At 39.2% G+C, this 21,273-nt stretch overlaps 1 protein-coding gene across 15 annotated transcripts in view, besides 1 other annotated feature; it reads left to right on the top strand.

Moving 5' to 3' along the window:
- Positions 1-21,273, top strand: part of NLGN4X (neuroligin 4 X-linked) — a 338,826-nt gene that overhangs the window by 7,951 nt on the left and 309,602 nt on the right. The gene's annotated exons all lie outside the window — the stretch shown is intronic.
- Positions 19,263-19,763: an enhancer, noted in NCBI's record as "H3K4me1 hESC enhancer chrX:6119195-6119695 (GRCh37/hg19 assembly coordinates)". NCBI's record gives its function as "activates a minimal SCP1, AML or CMV promoter by ChIP-STARR-seq in naive H9 embryonic stem cells {active_cell/tissue: H9 hESC(naive)}" and the evidence as "EXISTENCE:reporter gene assay evidence [ECO:0000049][PMID:30033119]".

The raw sequence follows: 21,273 nt of genomic DNA, 5'->3' as shown, positions 1-21,273 counted from the left end.
AAAATACAAAAACTAGCTGGGTGTGGTGGTGTGTGCCTGTAATCCCAGCTATACAGGAGGCTGAGGCCGGAGAATTGCTTGAACCTGGGAGGGGGAGGTTGCAGTGAGCCAAGATCGTGCCATTGCACTGTAGCTTGGGTGACAGAGCGAGACTCTGTCTCAAAAAAAAAAAAAAAAAAAAAGAAAGTTATAAAGTTACCTATGATGGGTCTGGATGTACTCCTTATTTAGGAGTGAAGACATTCGTTAACATGAGACCTAAGTAAGTAGAAAGTATGTGTTTAAGGGACAGGTGTCCATTTTCTCTAGGTCTCCTGGAAGCTTTTTTTTTCTAATTTGAGTACTAGTTCCAAAAAAGGTGTTACCGCCTATGTTTATAGTGAAACTATCTATGTGTGACAAAATTCTACCCTCTCTTGTCCATCAATATTGTGCAATGTTGTGTACTTGTATGGAGAAATAGACAACTTTTACAAAGATCAAACTAGGCACCCTTTACCAACGCTAAACTCATAACCCTTTTATCTGCCTTTGTAGAAGATTCTCACCTTTATTTCTCTTGGTCCCTCTGAGAAATATTTTCCTCTGAGACAATGCAATCTATGCCTCATCTTTAAGCAATCCTAGCTCACCAGTATGAGTAATGTTGTCTATTTTTAAGGTTATCTCATTATTCTAAAAGACTTTAAATTGTTGAAAAATAAATTGTGTGAGGGGTGGTAGAGTTTGAAACAATTATCTGTGATGTTACCAGATATTTTAGACTAAAATATATTAGAATCCAAGGTATTGTTCATGCCTTAAAAATGCTGAAATATCTGACTGTTGCTTATTAATTTTAAAAAGAATATAGGAAATAGCCATTAATTAATGAGGCTGTTTCCACTACCACATAAAAAAAAAAAAAGCTCACAGGTGCCTGTATGTTTTTGTCGAATCAAAGTAATCTGCTTTATGTATGCATTTATTCATAGAATTTACTAAAATCAAAATCAAGGTTTTATAAATATAGGGTTTGACAAAGTTTTAAAATATAACCAGCTATACAAATATGGCATGTGGGAAATTCTATTAAATTGTCATGAACATGCTTCTTTGTCATTCCAGGAGTCTTTCTTTTCATTACTCTTTCCTATTTGATCTGTTATTCTATAGAATTATCTTCATTTTCTCTTTAATACTTTAAGGATCCCTGAGACCTTGTCACTCATCCAAATAGAATAAAGGAATGAGGGAAGAAAGAAGGAAGGGAAGAAGGAAGGAAGAAAGGACGGAAGGAAGAAGGAAGGGATGGAGGAACGAAGGGAGGAAGGGAGGGAAGGAAAGAAGGAAGGAAGGAAGGAAGAAAGAAAGAAAGAAAGAAAGAAAGAAAAGAGAAAAGGAAGGAAGAAAGGAAGCAGGGAGGGAGGGAGAAGGATGATAGATCGAAGGGAAGGAGAGAAGGAGGGAAGGAGGGAAAGAAGAAAGGAAGGAAAGAAAGAAGAGAAAAAGGAAGGAGAGAGGGAGGGAATGAAGGAAAGAAGGAAAGAAGGAAGGAAAGAAAGAAGAGAAAAAGAAGGAAGGAAGGAGGGAAGGAAGGAAGGAAAGAAGAAAGGAAGGGAAGAGGGAAGGAAGCTGTGGTTTCTGTGCACCATTAACTAACAATAGCTCCTGTGAACCAGCCTGGAAGTTCATTCACCACATACAATATAGTTTCTTTTGGAAAATGCATGTCAAACTATATATATGGTTTGTGTGTGTGTATATATATATATACACACACACACATACATATATATACGTATATATGTATATACATATAAAATTTGCATGTACTTTTCATACAAAAGAACAAGAACTATATATATACAATATATATACATTGGAATATATTTATTATAGATGTATATGGATTTTACTATATATTATTTCTTGAAAAAGTATAAGAACTCCCGAATCAGGGATTCTTTCTTGAAGAGGCTGCCTGGTCCAATATTTTTGGAAAACCATATATCATTTGCCTCTCTTCAATTATATCCTGAAAATGGACACATTATGGCCTTAAAGTCTCCTGTACTAATGGGTTTAGCAGCTGTGACGGATAACTTAGGGTTCTTTGTAATGAGTTTTAACCAAATTAACCACAAGAGTGTTGAGAATACTTCTGTTGACACAGAGCAGAAAGAAGTACTAACAGGGTATGAAGATACTTGAAAGTGTTTAAATTACCAAGACTACTTGGAGATATGAACTTGTTGGTTTTTTTCTTTATTTCACGAATTTATTCAAAACTTGTTGAGTACCAATAAGTGGGGTACAAAGAAGATGAAATTGCTTATCTTTCCTATATTAACCATACACTAATGTTATTTTGCACCTCTGGTTTTATGTTTAAGAACAAATAAGTTTTACCAGAATTTTTCTTCTGGTGTGTGTGTGTGTGTGTGTGTGTGTGTGTGTGTGGGTTTAATCTCTCATGTCCTATTTCAAAAGTTAAGGAAAACAACAGCTTGATTCAGTCTTCATACATCTTTCTTAAATAGTTAAGGGCAAAATCATCAGAGCTACATAGCCCAAATATTAGGAATTAGGTTCATGTTCGAATTCTCAGAGGGTAATTATATAGTTCGATTTTAACTTCTTCAACAGACCGACTACTACAGTTGATGAGCAAGGAGATGAAAGTATTTGATAAACATCATGGAGTTAATATGATTCTTGAGGGAGGGGAGAAGGCTGCTTGTCTTAGGTAATGCTTTTGAGGGTAGGTTTGTCCTAGCCTTGAGGTAGCAGGCTTGCTCTGTTGGCTGAAGAAGCCTTAACATGCATGCCCGTATTGCAAATTTACCCACATGCCAACTGTATGCTGTGGGAAGAAATGAATAATGTAGATGCCATTACAGGGAATTAGGCGGAACGGATAGACTTAGTGCATCAGAACCAATGAGAAGTAGACAAGACATTTAGAAAATAGCAACAGCAATGAAAACAAATATAAGTAAACCACAATCAAAACCCTTACATTTGGGTTTCTAGTTGCCTGTTACCACAGAGGGTTCTGGTTACTAGCTAAAATGTAACCCAGTAGGAAGGTCAAGACAAGGCCCCTCATGCTGTCTCAAACAGTAACAAACAGTAAGGATGACCCAGGGAGAAAGGGTAACAAGTTACATGGAAGTTAAATACCAGTTACCTGTGCAGAGACTGAAAACATAAAGCAGACACAGGAATGGCAGTAGTAGAAAGTGGGGAAAATCTGAATTTGTTGCAGCATAAAACCAACCAACCAACCCTAGTGAGGGAATCAATACCTCAAAAAAAAAATCTTCTGACAATCTAGGTTCATGGTAGAGATTAAACGGTACCATATTATGAGGACAGAACAATAAATCACACATGGCTTCCCATAGAATTTGTGTGACAGTGGTTGTGTACTATGATTCAGTCTGTCATGACAATTTCACCAGTAAAATAACCTTCCAGGATTTATTTGATATCTCAATTGATAAGCCTCCCGTAAGTGAATAACCAGAATATGACATAATTTATAAAAATTAACTTAAAATTACACAAGAAGTTATGTGTCTAGTCATTTCACAATCAAATGTATTTAGGCATTTAATCTAGTAAGATCCCAAATAATAAAAAATTGTTTCTTTCTAGACCAACATGTATCCTGATGTTATAAATACATATGTAAATTATATACATATATTTGTATATGTAAAATACACATACATTTACATATGCATACATAGCTCACTTTTTATTGGGGAGCACATCTTCCTGAAGGTTTTTCAAAGAATAATTATTCTACCTGTAATGCTGTAGCAGTATTTGTAAAAAGTTCAAATGTGGCTGGGTACAGTGGCTCATGCCTGTAATTCCAGCATTTTGAGAGGCCAAGGAAGGAGGGTTACTTGAGCCCAGGACTTTGAGACCAGTCTAGGAAACACCATCCATACGAAAAAAATTTAAAAATAAGTCAGGTGTGGTGGTGCATGTCTGTAGTCCCTGTTACTCAGGAGGCTGAGGTGTAAGGCTCACTTGAGGAGTATATCAGGAGTTTGAGGCTGCAGTGAGCTATGACCTCACTACTGCATTGCAGCCTGGGCAACAGAGTGACACTCCATCTCTTAAAAAGAATTCAAATGCCTCATTTATCTGGACAGAATTTGATTGGTGTTATTCTATTGCTGAATAATTCCAGGGTATGCATTTACCTTTTCTCTATTGACTTTAAACATAGCTTATGAAAAACAAACAAACAAAAACCAAACAGAGGAGTTTGCAAAACTATATTTAAAAGTAAACCATACTCCCTCACCCCTGACTCCACAAAAATACTGTTTAATGTAGAGAAACCACAGACGGTGCAGCCCCCAAATCTGGAGCATCCTCAGGTACCTGGGGGCATTCTGGAGTGAGGGGCTGAGCCTCAGAGGCATTTGGTCACACTTGGGTGGGGATGCCTCATTGGCTAGTGAAGAAGCAGCTGTCTCTTCCATGTAGTGGTCAGTTGTGGCCTCTCCTGGAAGGGAATTTATCCAGCAGTGTGTGTTCCTGAAGATGCTAATAGCAAATTATGTTCAGTGAAGCCAGCTGCATCCTGTTGGTCTTGCTAGTCCCGGGATTCTTGCCACAGCAGGTCAGAATGGAAGGGAGCTGCTTATCTTTCCTCCTTACTTCCTCTCCCCATCCCAGCTCTCATCTGACATCCTTCCAACACCTATATGACAGGAAAAAAATTCTCTCTTCAAATTAAGAAAAGGGTCTGGTCTGGGTACGATGGCTCATGCCTGTAATCCCAGCACTTTGGGAGGACGAGGTGGGTGGATCATATGAGGTCAGGAGTTCAAGTAGTGAAACCCCATCTCTACTAAAAATACAAAAATTAGCCAGGTGTGGTGGCACGTGCCTGTAGTCCCAGCTACTCAGGAGGCTGAGGCAGGAGAATGGCTTGAACTCAGGAGTCGGAGGTTGCAGTAAGCTGATATCACGCCACTGCACTCCAGCCTGGGCGACAGAGCAAGACTCTCTCTCAAAAAAAAAAAAAAAAGTGTTTGAGTATTTACTCTCCACATCTTTCAGCTATTTCACTTCACTGGGAGTAGACAGGACAGGATGGCTCCAGGGACAGTGCTATTGTTACCTTGTTATCCACTTCCAATTTGGAAAGGTAAAAATATGCTTCAGTGTCTACTAAATTGCCTGCATTGAATTTGAAGTACAGTTTGTTGGGATACTCATGATGAAATTGGAAAACAGAATCACAGATTGTTAGGACTTGAATGTACTTGAGCAATCATTTGTATTCCCTCATGTACACAAGGAAATTGAGTCACAGAGAGTTTCAGTGATTTATCCTCATCCTTTTTTTTTTTTTTTGAGACGGAGTTTCGCTTTCGTTACCCACGCTGGAGTGCAATGGCGCAGTCTCGGCTCACCGCAACCTCTGCCTCCCAGGTTCAAGTGTTTCTCCTGCCTCAGTCTCCCAAGTAGCTGGGATTACAGGCACACACCACCACTGCTGGCTAATTTTGTATTTTTAGTAGAGACAGGGTTTCTCCATGTTGGTCAGCTGGTCTCGAACTCCCGACCTCAGGTGATCCACCTGCCTTGGCCTCTCAAAGTGCTGGGATTACAGGCGTGAGCCACCATGCCCGGCCGTGATTTATCTCCATAATTTTAAACACTATCCCTGCAATGAAAAAGGAATACCCCCAATTTTTAACATATCTGCTTACGCCAGTTCATGACAAGCTTACAAAATTAGAAGTAATTTTAAATGGGCAAAATAAAGCAAAGTGCATTATTTAATTTTCAAAACAGACTTTTCTTTATTATGCAGCAGCGATTTAAACAGATAAATCATTTCTATGAAAGGGACTAGCAGAGAAAGCAGGAAAAGACATGTCCCACATTAAAAGCTGAACTTGTTGGTGGGAACTCATTTTGTTTTATGAGTTATGATGAATGCACCTTAGCTGTTTCTAACCCCGCTCCCATTCCCTGTTTTTATTTGTAAGTCAGAACCCAGCATTTTTACATTTTTTGAAGTGTTAATTAATTGCCTTTGTTTAATGCACCTTGCTGTGTCTCAAGCATTGTTAAGAAAGGATAAGATCTTTTTCAGGGATGATTCTTTCCTTTCCTTACAGGGCTTTGTCTGTGATGAGAACTTTCTATACACATATTTTTCTTTTTAAGAGACGGGGTCTCACTATGTTGCGCAGGCTGGTCTCGAACGCCTGGGCTCAAGGGATCCTTCGGACTGACCTCCTGAAATACTGGGATTACTGGTGCGAGCCACCGCACTTGGCTCTATCTTTCTGCAAAAACTGGTGGATTCTACTTCTCTCTCCATCTATGTTTAGTCCTGGGAGATATAATCAAGAGAAAAGAAACATCTACCTTCATTAGATTAAGAGTCAAACAAAAGGGCCTAGAGGCAAAGAGGCTCCACGACCCTCTTTTGCGGGTGAGCCTGTGCATTGAAATCCTCAGCTTCAAAGAGACACAGAAGGCAAAATAGGAAGTTGGATTTGCAGGAGTTAGTCTCTTGGAGGGTCTTGTAAAATTGAAGGGTTCACATATGCCCTGTCAACTCTCCAAGAGAGAGATGACTTGGTGAAATCTGTATTTTGTGATGATTAGTCTTTCTCAGAGGGCTGGTTCAAGGGCAAACGAAGGGCAGAATAAGGACTTGCAGATGTGTTAAGAACAGAACCCGCTGTGTTGTGCGTCAACGACAAAAGCCCACTCCACTCCTGACATTCATATTTTGGGGTAACTGTTTTTTGCAGTGCAGACCTGTGAAACCTGGAGTATTTTCAGTCACAGCTTTTATCGAGATGCTTTCTGTTGACCTGAGAATTAATTATGGTTTGTCAAACAGCTTGACGACCTTGTCAGTGGTGTTTTTTGGTTTTTACAACTCCCCATCTAAGGATTTGAGAATGCCGCAGTGGATAAAACTGTGTGACTGACGTTCATTATTTTTTTCCACAATGCTTTAAAGTAAGTGCGCTGGGAATGCTCCATTTATTATGTAGAGGAGAGACATTTCCAAACTTTAACTTTGTTGCTGTTGCTTTTGTACACTGAGGCATTGATTCTGCAGGATTAAAAGAAGGTGCTGATTATTCCATTTGGTGGAAAGTTTCAGGAGTGGAAGCCAGCAGAATTGTTCCACTGAGATGATAATTCTGACTCTTTGATTCTTACACATTGACTACTTTTACAAAATACAAACCTGTTTTAATCTTTTTAAAGGACATTTGTGCGCTACTGTTTTCATTTTTTAAAATAACCTTTTAAAAATTTTAGGATAGTTTCAGGTTTGCTGAAAGGTTGCAAAGATAGTACAGAGAGTTACTCTTTAACTCCACACGCATATCGCATCTTACGTGACCATCTGTTACACTTAAGGAACCAACATTAGTACGTTACTAAGAACTGACATCACAATTTGTTTGGATTTCACTGGTGTCCACCTAATGTCCTTTTTCTCTTCTGAGGTACCATCTGAAATACCACACTGCATGGATTTGCCCTATTTTCTTAGCCTCATCTAGTCTGTGACAGTTTCTCAGTTTTTCCTTGTTTTTCATGACCTTAATAGTTTTGAGGTATTAATGTCATGGAGAATGTCCACCAACTAGAGCCAGTCTGATGTTTTAGACAGGGGTATGTGTTTGGGGGAGGAAATCCACAGAGATGAAGGTTTCCTTCATCTCACCCTAGCAACGGTGACTACTGTCCAGAAGACTTTTGCTGCTGGTGTTGGCTTTGATCACCTGGCTGACAGAGAGTTTGTCACTTTTCTCTGCTGTAAAGTTGTACTCTCCCCTCCCTGCCCAAGTCTAGTCTTTGAAACCAAGTCCCTAAAGTGGGGTGGGGGTGGGAGAAGAGGCAGAATTAAGCTCCACTTTCCGGATGGTGGAATATCGATAAATTATTTGGAATTCTTCTCTAAGAAAGATGGGTCTCTCCCCTTTATTTACTTAATCAATCATTTATATCAGTATGGACACATGGATATTTTAGATATGCTTTGGGCTACATTGCTGTGACTTATTCCACTTTATATTCCTTGTGGCCATGATGTAGACACCAGAGAGTCTATTCACTTGAATAGCAAGTAAATGAGGGGACTCAATGGTAAATGACTCTTAGAGAAACTCTCAGCCCTGCTGGTTCATGGATGCTCAGCTTGCAAAAACACCTTCTTCCATCAGGAAACCTCAGTGGATGGGCAAACATTACAGCGTCCTTGAATATGCTTCATTGCTTTAATCTACGAACTTCCTATGCAGTAAGCAAAACCACCCATACCACAGCTTAAGAGTGGGGCTTTCCTCCCAACACTCATCCTAGTGTCTTTTGATAAAGAGGTATAAAGTTGAAGGAACATGTTACTAACCAGAAGACTTCCAGAGGACCCCATTGATCAGGGTAGATGAATGGCTGTGTGCGTCTTGTCACAACCATCAGTATTTCAAAAGGTGATATCATCCTCTTAACCTTATGATGTGTTTTAACATAAAATTTTAATATGCATACAGGCGGTTATTACTTAAGCATTGCTTAAGAAGCAGTCTTTTTTTTTTAATTCATGTAACTGGATCTATTCTCTGAATAAGGAATATAAGCAAATCGTAGCCATTTCAAGGACTCTTTTTTTTTTTTTTTAAATGGAGTCTTGCTCTGTCGCCCAGGCTGGAGTGCAGTGGCGCGACCTTGGCTCACTGCAACCTCCACCTCCTGGTTCAAGCCATTCTCCTGTCTCAGCCTCCCAAGTAGCTGGGATTACAGGTGCCCACGAGCACACCAGGCTGATTTTTGTGTTTTTAGTAGAGATGGTGTTTCACCATGTTAGCCAGGCTGGTCTCGAACTCCTGACCTCAGATGAGCCGCCCACCTCAACCTCCTGACGTGCTGGGATTACAGACATGAGCCACTGTGCCCAGCCTCAAGGAGGCTTTTAAGGGCAGGATGTTTTTTTTTCTTATGGTGAAGGAATGAAGAGTAGTATGGGAAAGAAATACAGAAACTTTGAAAAAAGAAATGTAAAACTGGATCATCATTCCATAGGCTAGTAGTTAATAGTAAATAACTGTATAGTTTGTTCAAGGGATTTTGTGAATATTTTAAACACAGATGATAATTCTCTATCTACATCTACGTGTTTACCTGCATTTATATCATATGTACGTATGGACATATATATTTGCCTGTAGATCACATCTTTGTATGGTATCTGTACCAATATTAGAGTCTATAGCTACAGCATATCAATAACAGTATCTATTCTTATCTATATCTTAATCATATCTATTTTTGTATCTGTACACATATCTTTACCGATATTCACATTATATTTCTATGTCTAGATCTATATATATCTCTATCTATACCATTTTGAACTTTACATTTCCTACAGTATGATAGCATAAGCTATTTTAGGATTATTAAAAATCTTCATAAGCATTGTTTTTCATGGTTAATTTTCTCAAAAGACTATGCTTTAACATACCCAGTTCTTTATATATTTTTTGACATTTGGCTTATTTTAATGTTTTTGCTCCTCTAATGTATTTTTCTTTTTTTACTCCACACCCCTCCCGCCTCTAATTTTCAAATTGGGCATTCTTCATTATAGGGGCATTGCTTATTTTCTTTTGTATGTTTCAAAAAACATTCTGCATTGGTCTGTACACATTTTTCCCTCTTGTATCCCTTCTGTAAACATTTGTATTCACTTGAAACCTTATGGAATATTTTACTACAGAAAATTTCTGGTTATGATAAAAAAAGGCAGAGAAGATAGAATAAAGGATCCCATGTGCCCATCAGTTGGCTTCAGCAATTATGAATGGATAGCCTAATCTTTAGTATCTAACTTCATTCATATTTCCATTCTTATTATGGCATGATGTAATTCATTTAAAGATATGTCTGTACGTTGCTCTAAAATATAGGAACCATTTTATTTTACACAGCTGCAGAATCTTTTCCATGCCTAAAATTATCAACAGTAGTTCCTCTGTATCATCCACTATAAAGTTGTAACTGTCAAAATGATCTTCTCGTAGTTTTGTAACTCACGCAAGGTCAAGGTCTAGCACTGCAATAGGTTGATTTGTCTTTTACATTTCTTTTAATTGATATAGCTTCCCTATCTTTTTATGCACATTCTTGTTGAAAAAACTGCTCTTTTTACTCTACATGAAAGTGGGTTTTAGAATTGGAAAATGTAGTTGTCAAGTTATTTTAGAAGGAACGTGTGTATTTTCCGTAATGCACAGTCTTAAGTTACTAACTCCTTAGGAGCAAACGCTGTGTGACTTGGTAGTGTTCTACCCAGAAGGAATGCTGCTGGGTAAATTTGGCCAGCTACGTGACAGCTCTTTGGACTCAGTATATCTCAGTTTTATCTATTTTTAACAAGGTTTTATTTTGAAGACAGGGTCTCGCTCTGTCGCCCATGCTGGAGTGCAGTGATGCAATCATAGCTCGATGCGGTCTTGAACTTCTGGGCTCAAGCAATCTTCCCACCTCAGCCTCATATTATCTAGTACCTGGCAGAGATACAGATCTGATGAGAAGCAAAGATAGAGGGGTGTCAGAAGGTAGCTTTTGTTGCACCATTACATACATACACACACACACACACACACACACACACACACAAACGGGCGCACACGCACGCACAAAGAATCAACTGCAATTTTTTCCTCTTTGCCAACCCACAGTTAAGTAAAATTATTAGTTCTATTGAACTCCACATTGCATGTGATATTTTGAATGATAGAGGCTAAAGAGAGGCCAAAGAGGGAGGATTGCTTGAGGCCAGGAGTTCAAGACGAGCTTCGACAACATAATGAGACCGCGTTTCTACAGAAAAAAAGAAAAAAAATAGCCAGATGTGATGGCTCGCTCCTGTAATCCCAGCTACTGGAGAGGCTGAGACAGGAGGATGGCTTGAGCCGAGGAGTTGGAGGCTGCAGTGAACTCTGATAGTGCCACTGCACTCCAGCCTGGGTGACAGAGAGATTCTGTCTCTAAAAAACAGGAAAAATATGACTAAAGAAAACCAAACTAATCTAATCTATACAGTTATAGATAGTTGGCTATCATTCTTATGCTAATGTAAGTATGCCTCATTTTAAGAAGAGTTGTGTGTGTGTATGTGTGTGTATCTGTGAGTGTGTGTGTATGCATGATATAAATCCAGACTTCTAAGCGAGTATCAGGGATGGTGAACTATTATTAGTAGATCATTGGAACCTGTTACACAAGGATGCACTAGAGAATTTTACAAACTATTAAATTCTGTATAATTTAAAATGTGACTTGATTTACTCAGATATTTTAAAAGGATGCATGTCTCTTACAAAACAAGATTTACTAACTTTGGTGCTCTTGACGTTGAGGCTGGATAATTCTTTGTTGTGGTGGCTGTCCTGTGCCTTGCGTGATGCTGAATGGTATTGCTGGACTCAAGCTTCTAGGTGCCCGTTGTATACACGTTCCTGTTTTAAAAAAAACTTATATAAATTTAACGGGCACAAGTGCTGTTTTGTTACATGGATATATTGCATAGTGATGAAATCTGGGTTTTTAGTGTAACCACCACCCAAATAACATACATTGTATCCATTAAGTAATTTCTCATTCCTCATCATCCTACCACCCTCCCACCTTTTTGATTCTCCAGGGTCTATTATTCCACTCTCTGTGTCCATGTGTACACATTATTTAGCTCCCACTTAGGAGTGAGGACATGTGGTTTTTGACTTTCTGTTTCCGAGTTGTTTCACTTAAGGTAATGGCCTCCAGTTCCATCCATGCTCCTGCAAAAGAGATAGTTTCGTTCTTTTTATGGCTGAATAATATTTCGTTATTCATATATACCACATTTTCTTTATTCATTTATCCATTGATGGATGCCTAGCTGGATTCCATATCTTTGCTATTGTGAATAGTGCGGTATTAAACGTATGCGTGCAGGTATCCTTTTGACATAGCGATTTCTTTTTATTTGCGTAGATACCCAGTAGTGGGATTGCTAGATAAGATGGTAGTTCTATTTTTAGTTCTTTGAGGACTCTCCATACTGTTTTCCATAGAACTTATACTAATTTACATTCCCATCAACAGTGTATGTGGATTCCCTTCTCTCTGCATCCTCATCAACCTCTGTTATGTTTTGAGTTTGACATCCACAATGTCTGCAGACAGTCTCAGATATCCCCTTGGGAGTAAAATCCATCCCAGTTAAAAAGCTCTGTTATGAAATGAGGTGTACTTATTCCAAGTTTTACATGGGGAATTTCACTGGTTTTTGGGTTCTAGTAGCCCCGACGTGTATACTGGGCATGACCAGATAAGATAAACTGGGCAAAGAGTGCAATGAGAGATAGTAACCACATTATTTTGGAAGATGTTTTTCATAACCAGAATAGACTTTATGAATTCTATCAATTGTAATGAGAATCGGATTGACATTTGGGGACAGTTAATATAACGCACGTTATCCGAAAGGAGGTGGCATTGATTTATATAAGTGAGAGCTTACGAGAAAACAAAGACTGGAAATAAAGAAAAAGAAAATCCTTGATAAGTATCTGATAGAACAAAGTGCAGAACGAAATGCAGCTAGCTTATCTAAAATTGGGCAAAATCATGTTCCAAATGAAAGCTCAGTAGATGGGAAGAGAGTATTTGAACATTTGATGTGAAAAATGAGATTTACTGTTCCACAGATATGAACACATTGATGAGAGCTGTCAGTTATTAGAACTTATTAACATCAATGGGAACACCAGAAATGTGCTGCACAGAAAATTAAATTTAAGACTGTTTGAAAATGGTGTTATATTTTCTGAACTGTTACATTGATTGATTAAAATTAGATTATCCAACAAAATAAGAACTTTTGATATTCTGTGAGTGAATATGAGATGAATTTATGTGGCAGATGTGTTTTTAAAAGATGTATTATTAACCGCAGAGATTCAGAATTAATGTCGCCAACCCCAAAGAATGCAGTATAACATTTGTCATAAGTGACCTCATAATAGGTTATTTTATAATATCGTTTTTAATTTTGATAATAAATGGACACCTTTTACATCTTTAATAATAAAAGGATATATGCAAAACCAGTTATTTTTATTCCAATGTTAATAAAATAGCAATAAGCCTCATTTCATTTGAAGCACCAACTTTCACTCCATATCAAATTTCTAAAAGTCTGGGAGATACTCACCAACTAGTCAAGAAGATTTTCATTCTATAAAATTGTATAATGCAGTGAATCCTGTTCTTTTCCCATATGCATTTATTTAATATTTATATTTGATACAAGGAATCTATATTATTTTCATTAAGCCACTCATAAACGTAAGTGTTTTACTTCTTCTTGGGTACATTTTTAAAAATTTGGTTACATTTTTGAGATGTTGATGCCATGGTTAAAATATTCCAACTAAGTAATGGGATGGGTTTACAATAAGTTTTTGCTCTACAAGGAAATAGGTCAATAAATCAGGCTCCAGCCAATTATAGGAGAAAAGGAAAAGTTAACTTATTATACATTATTGCACACAGTGTTTGATGTATGTATGCAAATTGCTCCCAAATACAGTTTGGTTGCAGTTGTGCTCCACATTTATGGTGGATGCAGTTTTGAATATGTGCAGAGAGAATATATTCTGACCTCATTCATCAATGTGATGCAAATGTGTAGAAATGGCAAGGTCATTTTTGTATGATGATAAAATGCCTGTTTGAAAGTAAACTCATCCACCCATCCATCCAAAGGTTGCATTTTCTCAATTCCCAATTCTAAATATGTCTGTGTGTGTGTGTGTGTATGTGTGTGTGAGAGAGAGAGAGAGAGAATCTAGTGCAATTTTATTGTTCTACTTTGTTCCAGGCTTGACATTTTAGTGATTGAAACTAAAATACCTTGATTCTTACCCTCTAATTTTACAAATAAAATCTGGTTTACTGTTATGGATTGAACTGTGTTACAGATTGAATTGTGTTCCCCAAAAAGATATATTGAAATCCTAATGCCCAGCACCTCAGAATGTGATCTTATTTTGAAATAAGGTCTTTGCAGATGTAATTACAATGAGGTGATTAAGGTGGCCCTTATTCCGTACAACTGGTGTCGTAACCACCATGTGAAGACACAGACACTCACAGGGTGAAGACGGCCATCTGATGATGGAAGGTTGGCATGATGCAGCTACAAAAAGGGAATGCCAAGGATTACTGGCAACTCCCTGAATTTAGAAGAGACAGGAAAGTATCCTCACCAAGAACCCTCAGAGGGAGCATGGCCAACATCATGATTTTGGACTTCTAGACTTCAGAACTTTGAGAGAGTATATTCCTGTTTCCTGAGACATAAGCCTTGTGATTCTTTTTGATAGTAACTCTAGGAAACTCATACACCAAGACACAGAGTTATTTATTTAAATTCATTTTTTTTCATTTAAAAATACTTATTTGACAAAGACTGTAATATGGAAAGTGTCCAGTGTGATGACTGGATGTACGTATACATTGTGTAACAATGATCACAATCAAATTAATGAACATATCACTCATAGCCCATGTGGTACATAATGGATGGACCTGAAGTTATGCAGCCAGCTTGGGGCAGAGCTGGGTTTGAAGGGCAGACTCCTCACCCAGCCACACTTGTCTTCCAGAATCACTTTCACATCGTCATGAGGATTTTAGAGACTCCACTGCTCCATGTCACTGCATCAACACATTGTGGAGTGGGGGGTCTCATAATTCATTGCAGGTGTCTGAAGATCAACAGTTGGGTTTCCCTTCCCTCAACTGTAAAATGAGTGAGTTGGACCTGTCTCCAGGGCCTTTCTAAGCTATATGATTTGAGAACAATGATCATTGTAATTAAGACGCTTGACTTGAATACTGCTCATTTTAAACCATGATTAGGGATATGAGATGCTCCGTGTGTTTTCTAAATAAACTTCATTGTGACCTGGTTAAGTGTTGGATATGAATTGGCAAGAGGAGGCTTGCTAGTAGAAATGGTGTAATTTAAAACCCATTCACAAGTATTTACACACTGCAAGACATCTAGATCCTCAGAAGTCAGGTAGTATCCTAAAAGCACAGTGTGTAATTTATGGTAGATAATTGAAATTGCACTGAAATTGAACTTGGTGGTGGGGAGTACACTTCATAGTATTCAATTTTTGCCTTCACTTTATTCTATGTCTGACTCTCAGGAAATAGGAACTGCAACGTTGGGTTTCTCCAGTGTATTTTCAACTTCAAACTTGTGAATTGTAAACCATTAAACAAATGATCAAACACTACATCTTTCCCTGCTCTTGTATGGACATAGAGTTTTGTTATTCATGCCTTCTCTTTTCTTATCTGGGAAGAGATCTTTCTTAACCTTTAGAAATTGGATTAATGCGACCCTCTTTAACCTCACATTTGATGTGAATGTCAGAACTTTTTGAAACTTAGCTGTGCTTTTAGTACACTGATCACTGAGTGCCCGTTGACTGGCAGGCACTGGGCTGCTCAGTGAGGTAGGTGAAGAAGAGACACCAGCTCCCTCCTGGAGTGTGTGCTCTGCTGGAGGATAAAGACACTTATCAAGCAATAGCATAAATGCTTCTGACACCATGACTCTAATCAGAGTGGCACAGCCAATGGGCATGGGGCTAGGAGAATATGAGAATTCGTAGGTATGGGGATGCTGTCAGGGTTCATGAAAGGTCTTCCCAATGATGAGAAAACTGCAAGTTGGGAGGAGGTAGAAATAACTGAAAGAAATGGTTGTAGAGATGAATACATTGGGGGATGATCGTGTTGCAGGGTGACATCTTTTAGTGATAAAAGGGATAGAGTTTGAGCTCCTGCTGCAGACCCTCAGCGATGTGTTGTAATGGTAAGAATTGGCTCATGGTTTCCTGGTTTGCCTGATTGCTGCATCCACAAAACCATGGGTTCTGGGGTTAATTCCCATCCATTTTGTTGCTGAATTTCTCAGAATGATAGTCTTCGGTACATTGTTACTGAAAGGAGGTGCTAAACCCAATGTCTTCATTGCTTTTGAAGCAGATGGTCCAGTGTAGTGTTTCTCAAACATAAGCATCAGAGTGTCCTAGAGGTCTTGTTAAAGGCAAATTGCTGGGATCCATCCCAGGAGTTTCTGAGTCAGCAGATCTGAGATGGGACCCATAATTCCCCAGTTGAAGTTGCCGTTACTGGTCTTGGGATCACTCTTTTAGAACTACTGCCTTAGGGTATTTCTGGGTTACATGTGCACACATGACCTGCTTAAGTTTTGAGCTCAACATTCTGTTTTATTCCTTCCTGTTCAGAGGCCGGCATCCACAGCTCTGGGTCTCATCATTTGCTTTTTGTCATCCAGTTGTGCTCTACTGATTTATAAGTTATCTTTATGTTTTCAGTTTCCCAGTCAATTCAAGCCAATGCATATTTATTGGGCATCTACCATGTGCTATGGACTGTGAGGGACTTAAAGATTAATAACAACAACCATAAAAACTCATTGACGTGCTGGGCATTATTTATTTCCCCATGGCCCCCAAATGCTAGGCTTATCATTCAAAACACTACAGCAACTTGAAGGCAGCAGATTGTTTCTCATTTCAGGGATCCACAGGTATATGGCTTCTCAAACGAAGGTCTGGTAATTCCAGGCTGCATGCAGCTATTCTTCCTTTAAAGACTGAGAAACCATGCATACAACATCTTTTCTTCCTTCTTCGTTTATACATTTGATAACTATGTACTGACATCTTACTTTGAGAAGGTCACCATGCCAGATACCGTCAGTGATAGAAACACAGATAAGATTCAACCTCTGATCCCAGGGAGACTCTCAGTAAGGAAGAGAAAATGAGAAATGAAAGTACCTATACTACAAGGCATGCACGTCACACATTCCATAAGTGGGTAAAAACACAGACCTTGGCAGCACAGAATCTTGTTTTCCATTTGTGTCATTTAGGACACTGCATTGGTTATCTATTGCTGCATAAAAAATTCTTCTAAACCTTAGGTTAAAACTGCAAACATTTATCATCTCATGCATTTCTATACATCAGGGATTTAGGAGCAGTGTAGCTGGCCAGTTCTAGCTCAGGGTCCGTCATGATGTTGTGGTCAAGTTGTAGACAGGGCTTGCAGTTTTATGACGGTGTTGGAGAATCTCACTTATGTGTCACTTGGCAGGAGGCTTCAGTTCTTGGCCACATGGGCTTCTCCCTAGGGCTAGACGTGTGACATTAACAGCTGGCTTTTCTGAAAGTGAGGAGAGAAAGAGGGAGGCTGAAAGAGAGTCTAAGGTGAAAGCCACACACTCTTAGAACTTGATCTTGGAGGTGACACCTTGTCACTTTTGCACTTGATTTGGAGGTGACACCTTGTCACTTTTGCTACATGCTATTGGTTGTTCAAATCAAATCTGGCACCATGTGGATGAGGATTCCAGGAAGGTGTTAATTGCAGGTGTCAGTTGGCCATCTCAGAAGCTAGACTATCACCAGAAGCTCTTCCAAAGGAGGTGGCTTATGAGCTGCATAGAATTTTGTCATAAGGACAAAGGAGAAAGTGTGAACAAACACATAGGTACAGCAAGTGTTGAGGAATGGGCTGTGTTGTGTTGAGTGTTGTCTCAAGGGCATGTTGAGTTTGGGTGATGAAATTGAAATCAGATCATTTCAGGTGGTGCAACTTGATGGTAAGCCATATAGATGTTATTCTGTAGGCAATGGGGCAATCATATTAGGACTTTTGCAGAATTATTTAAGGAATAGCAGTTTCATGATAGTAGAGGTAGGGATAGAAGACAGAAGGTCAGTAATGCAAGTTGAGATCTAGTTATAGATTCAACTGTGGTAGAGATTGAGGAAATGGGGATGGCATGAGGCTCTGCAGAGGCATTGGAAGGATGATACTGATAGAATCTTGCAAACTATTGGATAGAGGCCAAGACAATGAATAACCATCCAAGGTTGCAGTTATGGGTGGAGTTGTCCAGTTAAGAAAAGGGAGAGAGTTCAGAGGTAGGTGAAGGTCAGCATTATTAGATGCTTTGGAGACACATGAGACTGACAGAGATGTTTACTATTTTTTTTGGTGATTATAAGGTAATCAATAGACTTTGAGAGATTACTGTTTTTCAGTCTTCCATATTATGTTGCTTGGATGCATTTTTCTTTTTTCCTGAAACTTGGCAGACATATCCATTATCAAGACGTTTTCAGAGGGGCATGGTGGCTCATGCCTGTAAATCCAGCACTTTGGGAGGCTGAAGCAGGATTGCTTGAGCTCAGGAGTTGGAGACCAGCCGGGGCAACATGGTGAAACTCCATCTCTACACAAAGTACAAAAATTAGTCAGGCATGGCAGCATATGCCTGTAGTCCTACCTACTCGGGAGGCTGAGGTTGGAGGATTGCTTGAGCCTGGGAGGCGGAGGCTGCAGTGAGCCCAGATCACACTACTGCACTCCATCTTGGGTGACACAGTGAGACCCTGTCTCAAAAAAAAAAAAAAAAAGAAAATGAAAAGACCTTTTCAACCATTCTAATCATAATTCCAAGACCTATTTGTGTCCTGACTTCAAGAGCAGGTACTCTTATTGAGAAACATTTCTGTAATTGTTCCCACTTCCCTTATACCTTTTTTTCTGACAGCAGGTGGCATCCCCTCAGTTGTCTAGCTGACCACTGGAAGGGCTGACCCCTCAACAAACCCATATCCTGCTTGGAGTTTCTCTATAGGCCCTGTCTTATTTATTGCTCCTGCTTTGAGTAACTTTCTCCTTCCTCAAATCTATTCTTCTAATTTTCCTTCACTGCCTATTAATTGAACTGACTTTTCTGATTGTCTGTTCCTCCTGCCTTTGCAGTTACTGTCGCTCCCTAAATTCCATCCTCGAATCACTCCTCTTCCTTCCGTACTGTCCTATGTAGCTTTGCATCTACTCATGGTTTGATGATTATTTCCATCGGAGAGACCACAGGGGTCTCTATCTTCTGCTCTCACTTCTCTTCCAAGTTCCTTCCTGCCCTTACAGCTCCCCTTTCAACAACATTGCCTATATGCTCTGGCCAAAACTCAATTCAGTGTTCCCAAAATTGTCCCATCATCTTTCTTGCCAAGCTTACCCTGCTCCCTGCTCATGGCATCTTCTCCTCTCAATTCCTCATCTTGGATTTGAATCCCCTCTCTTTCCCATCCCCAGTGTAAATCACTTTCAGAAATAACAGGTCCTGTCATTTCTTCTTCTGAGATACATCTGTACTTTCCTTGGTCATCTTCTCACTTTATGTGTTACTATTTTAATCATATCCTGTCTATGACTTGTACACTCTCCAATCTATTTTTAAAGCTATTCTTTCTTCATCTTCACAAATAATTGATTATGTAAGACTACTATCTCGTTCAAAATTCATAAACAAGCATCCACTGTGCTTCACCACCTGCCCCATCTCCGCCGTTACAACTGCAGTCATCATTTTACTCCTCTGGGTGTTATACTTCATCCTCCACCCAACCTGAGTATGGATAGGAATCACTGCATTTCACCTTGGTTTCTTGCTTTTTCTCATTCTTCTCAGGCTCTCTTTCAACCTGGAATACTGTTATTTTCCCATCTCCACACCTTATTCATGACTGAGGGCTAAAATGCTGTTTCTTTCACTGCTCTCTCTAACATGCATTGTTTGTATTCCTCTGTGGTAGTCATCAATTTCCATTACAGAGGCCAGGAGACCTGATACTTTCTTGAGTGTGAATTTCAGTAGTTGACGTCTTGTGTCTCAGTTTCCTCAGCTGTTGAGGGCTGTGAGAAGAGTACCTACCTCGAGGGATGTTTGCAAAATAAATAAGTTAAGGTCAGGCACTGTGGCTCATGCCTGTAATCCAAGCACTTTGGGAGGCTGAGGCAGGAGGACTGCTTGATCCCAGGAGTTCGAGACCAGCCTGGGCAACATAGGGAGACCCTGTCTGTACAAAGAATAATAATAATAATAATAAAAATTAGGCAGGTATGATGGCACATGCCTGTGATCCCAGCTACTTGGGAAGCTGAGACAGGAGGATTGCTTGAGCCTGGGTATTCAAGGTTATAATGAGCTAGGATTGCACCATTGCACTCCAGCGTGTGTGACAGAGCAAGATCTTGTAAAAAAAAAAAAAAAAAAAAGAAAAGGAAAGGAATAAATTAAGCATATAAAGCACTTTAAAACAGGTATTTAGAAAGTGTTGAAGGCGGCCTTGACATTACTTATCTTTGGCCCATCCTTGTCTTTCTCCTTCGTAGTCTAAAATGTTTTACAAAGGACTGTTTCTCATGACACTGAGAATGAACCCCAAATTCCTTTCACTGACCTATTCCACTTTTATACAGTAAGCCTCTTGCTCACTTCTCCACCTTCATCCCAGGCCATCCTCTTCTCACTGAACTGCTGTCCCAGTCCTCTTTTGGTTTTGTGATCTGAGTGGATACCGTGTTAGGACATTTTTGTGTGCCACTCCCTCTGCCCAGAGCACCCTGTCCTGTTCCCATTTAAAGTGGGTTCCACCCTCGATTGTGTTCTTATTTAACCCATTATTTACTTTCTTCTCTGAGCTCACCTGATCTCAAAGGCTTTTTTATTCTTTGTCTACTTATGGATATGTGTGGAGGATCTGGGGGGTTAGTGAATTTTTCTCTGCATTCTCTAAACATGTGTATTGCATGAATCTGGAATAGATCAGCCCTTACTGGGTATTTATTAAAGAAATGAGTAGTTGTAAGACACTCTATAGATATTCATTTAATGAATGAGAAAATCAAATGTTGCCTGGTAAAAACAAGTGTTAAGTCAGCTATCACAGTTTTCTGAGATATGCAGCCAAGCCAGGGAGACTGAGGGAAGGATGTCTTTCATTGTAAAATCAACGCACTGTAGGGGAAAGTTCCTCTCTCACCTAAGGGAATATCGATCTTCCTTGATTGTTTGCTTTGGTATTTCTAAATTAGCATGATTTACCAAAAATGTTTGGATCACTCAGTACATGCATGTGATTTTTTCTAAATGGCTATCTTTAAAAAAACTTCCTCATCTGTATTAATGTCCCTAGAGTTTTTACATTTTTTGCCTGTATTTCATTAAAGATGATGTCATAGAAAATTTTTGTCAAATTTCTCATTCTGGTCCGTGCCTGGAAGATTGACAGTGATGCAGTCTAAGAAAGTTCAGGATTT

This window comes from Homo sapiens, chromosome X (genome assembly GCF_000001405.40).
Source record: "Homo sapiens chromosome X, GRCh38.p14 Primary Assembly".
Lineage (NCBI taxonomy): Eukaryota > Metazoa > Chordata > Mammalia > Primates > Hominidae > Homo > Homo sapiens.
This window is presented reverse-complemented; position numbering and strand designations above follow the sequence as displayed.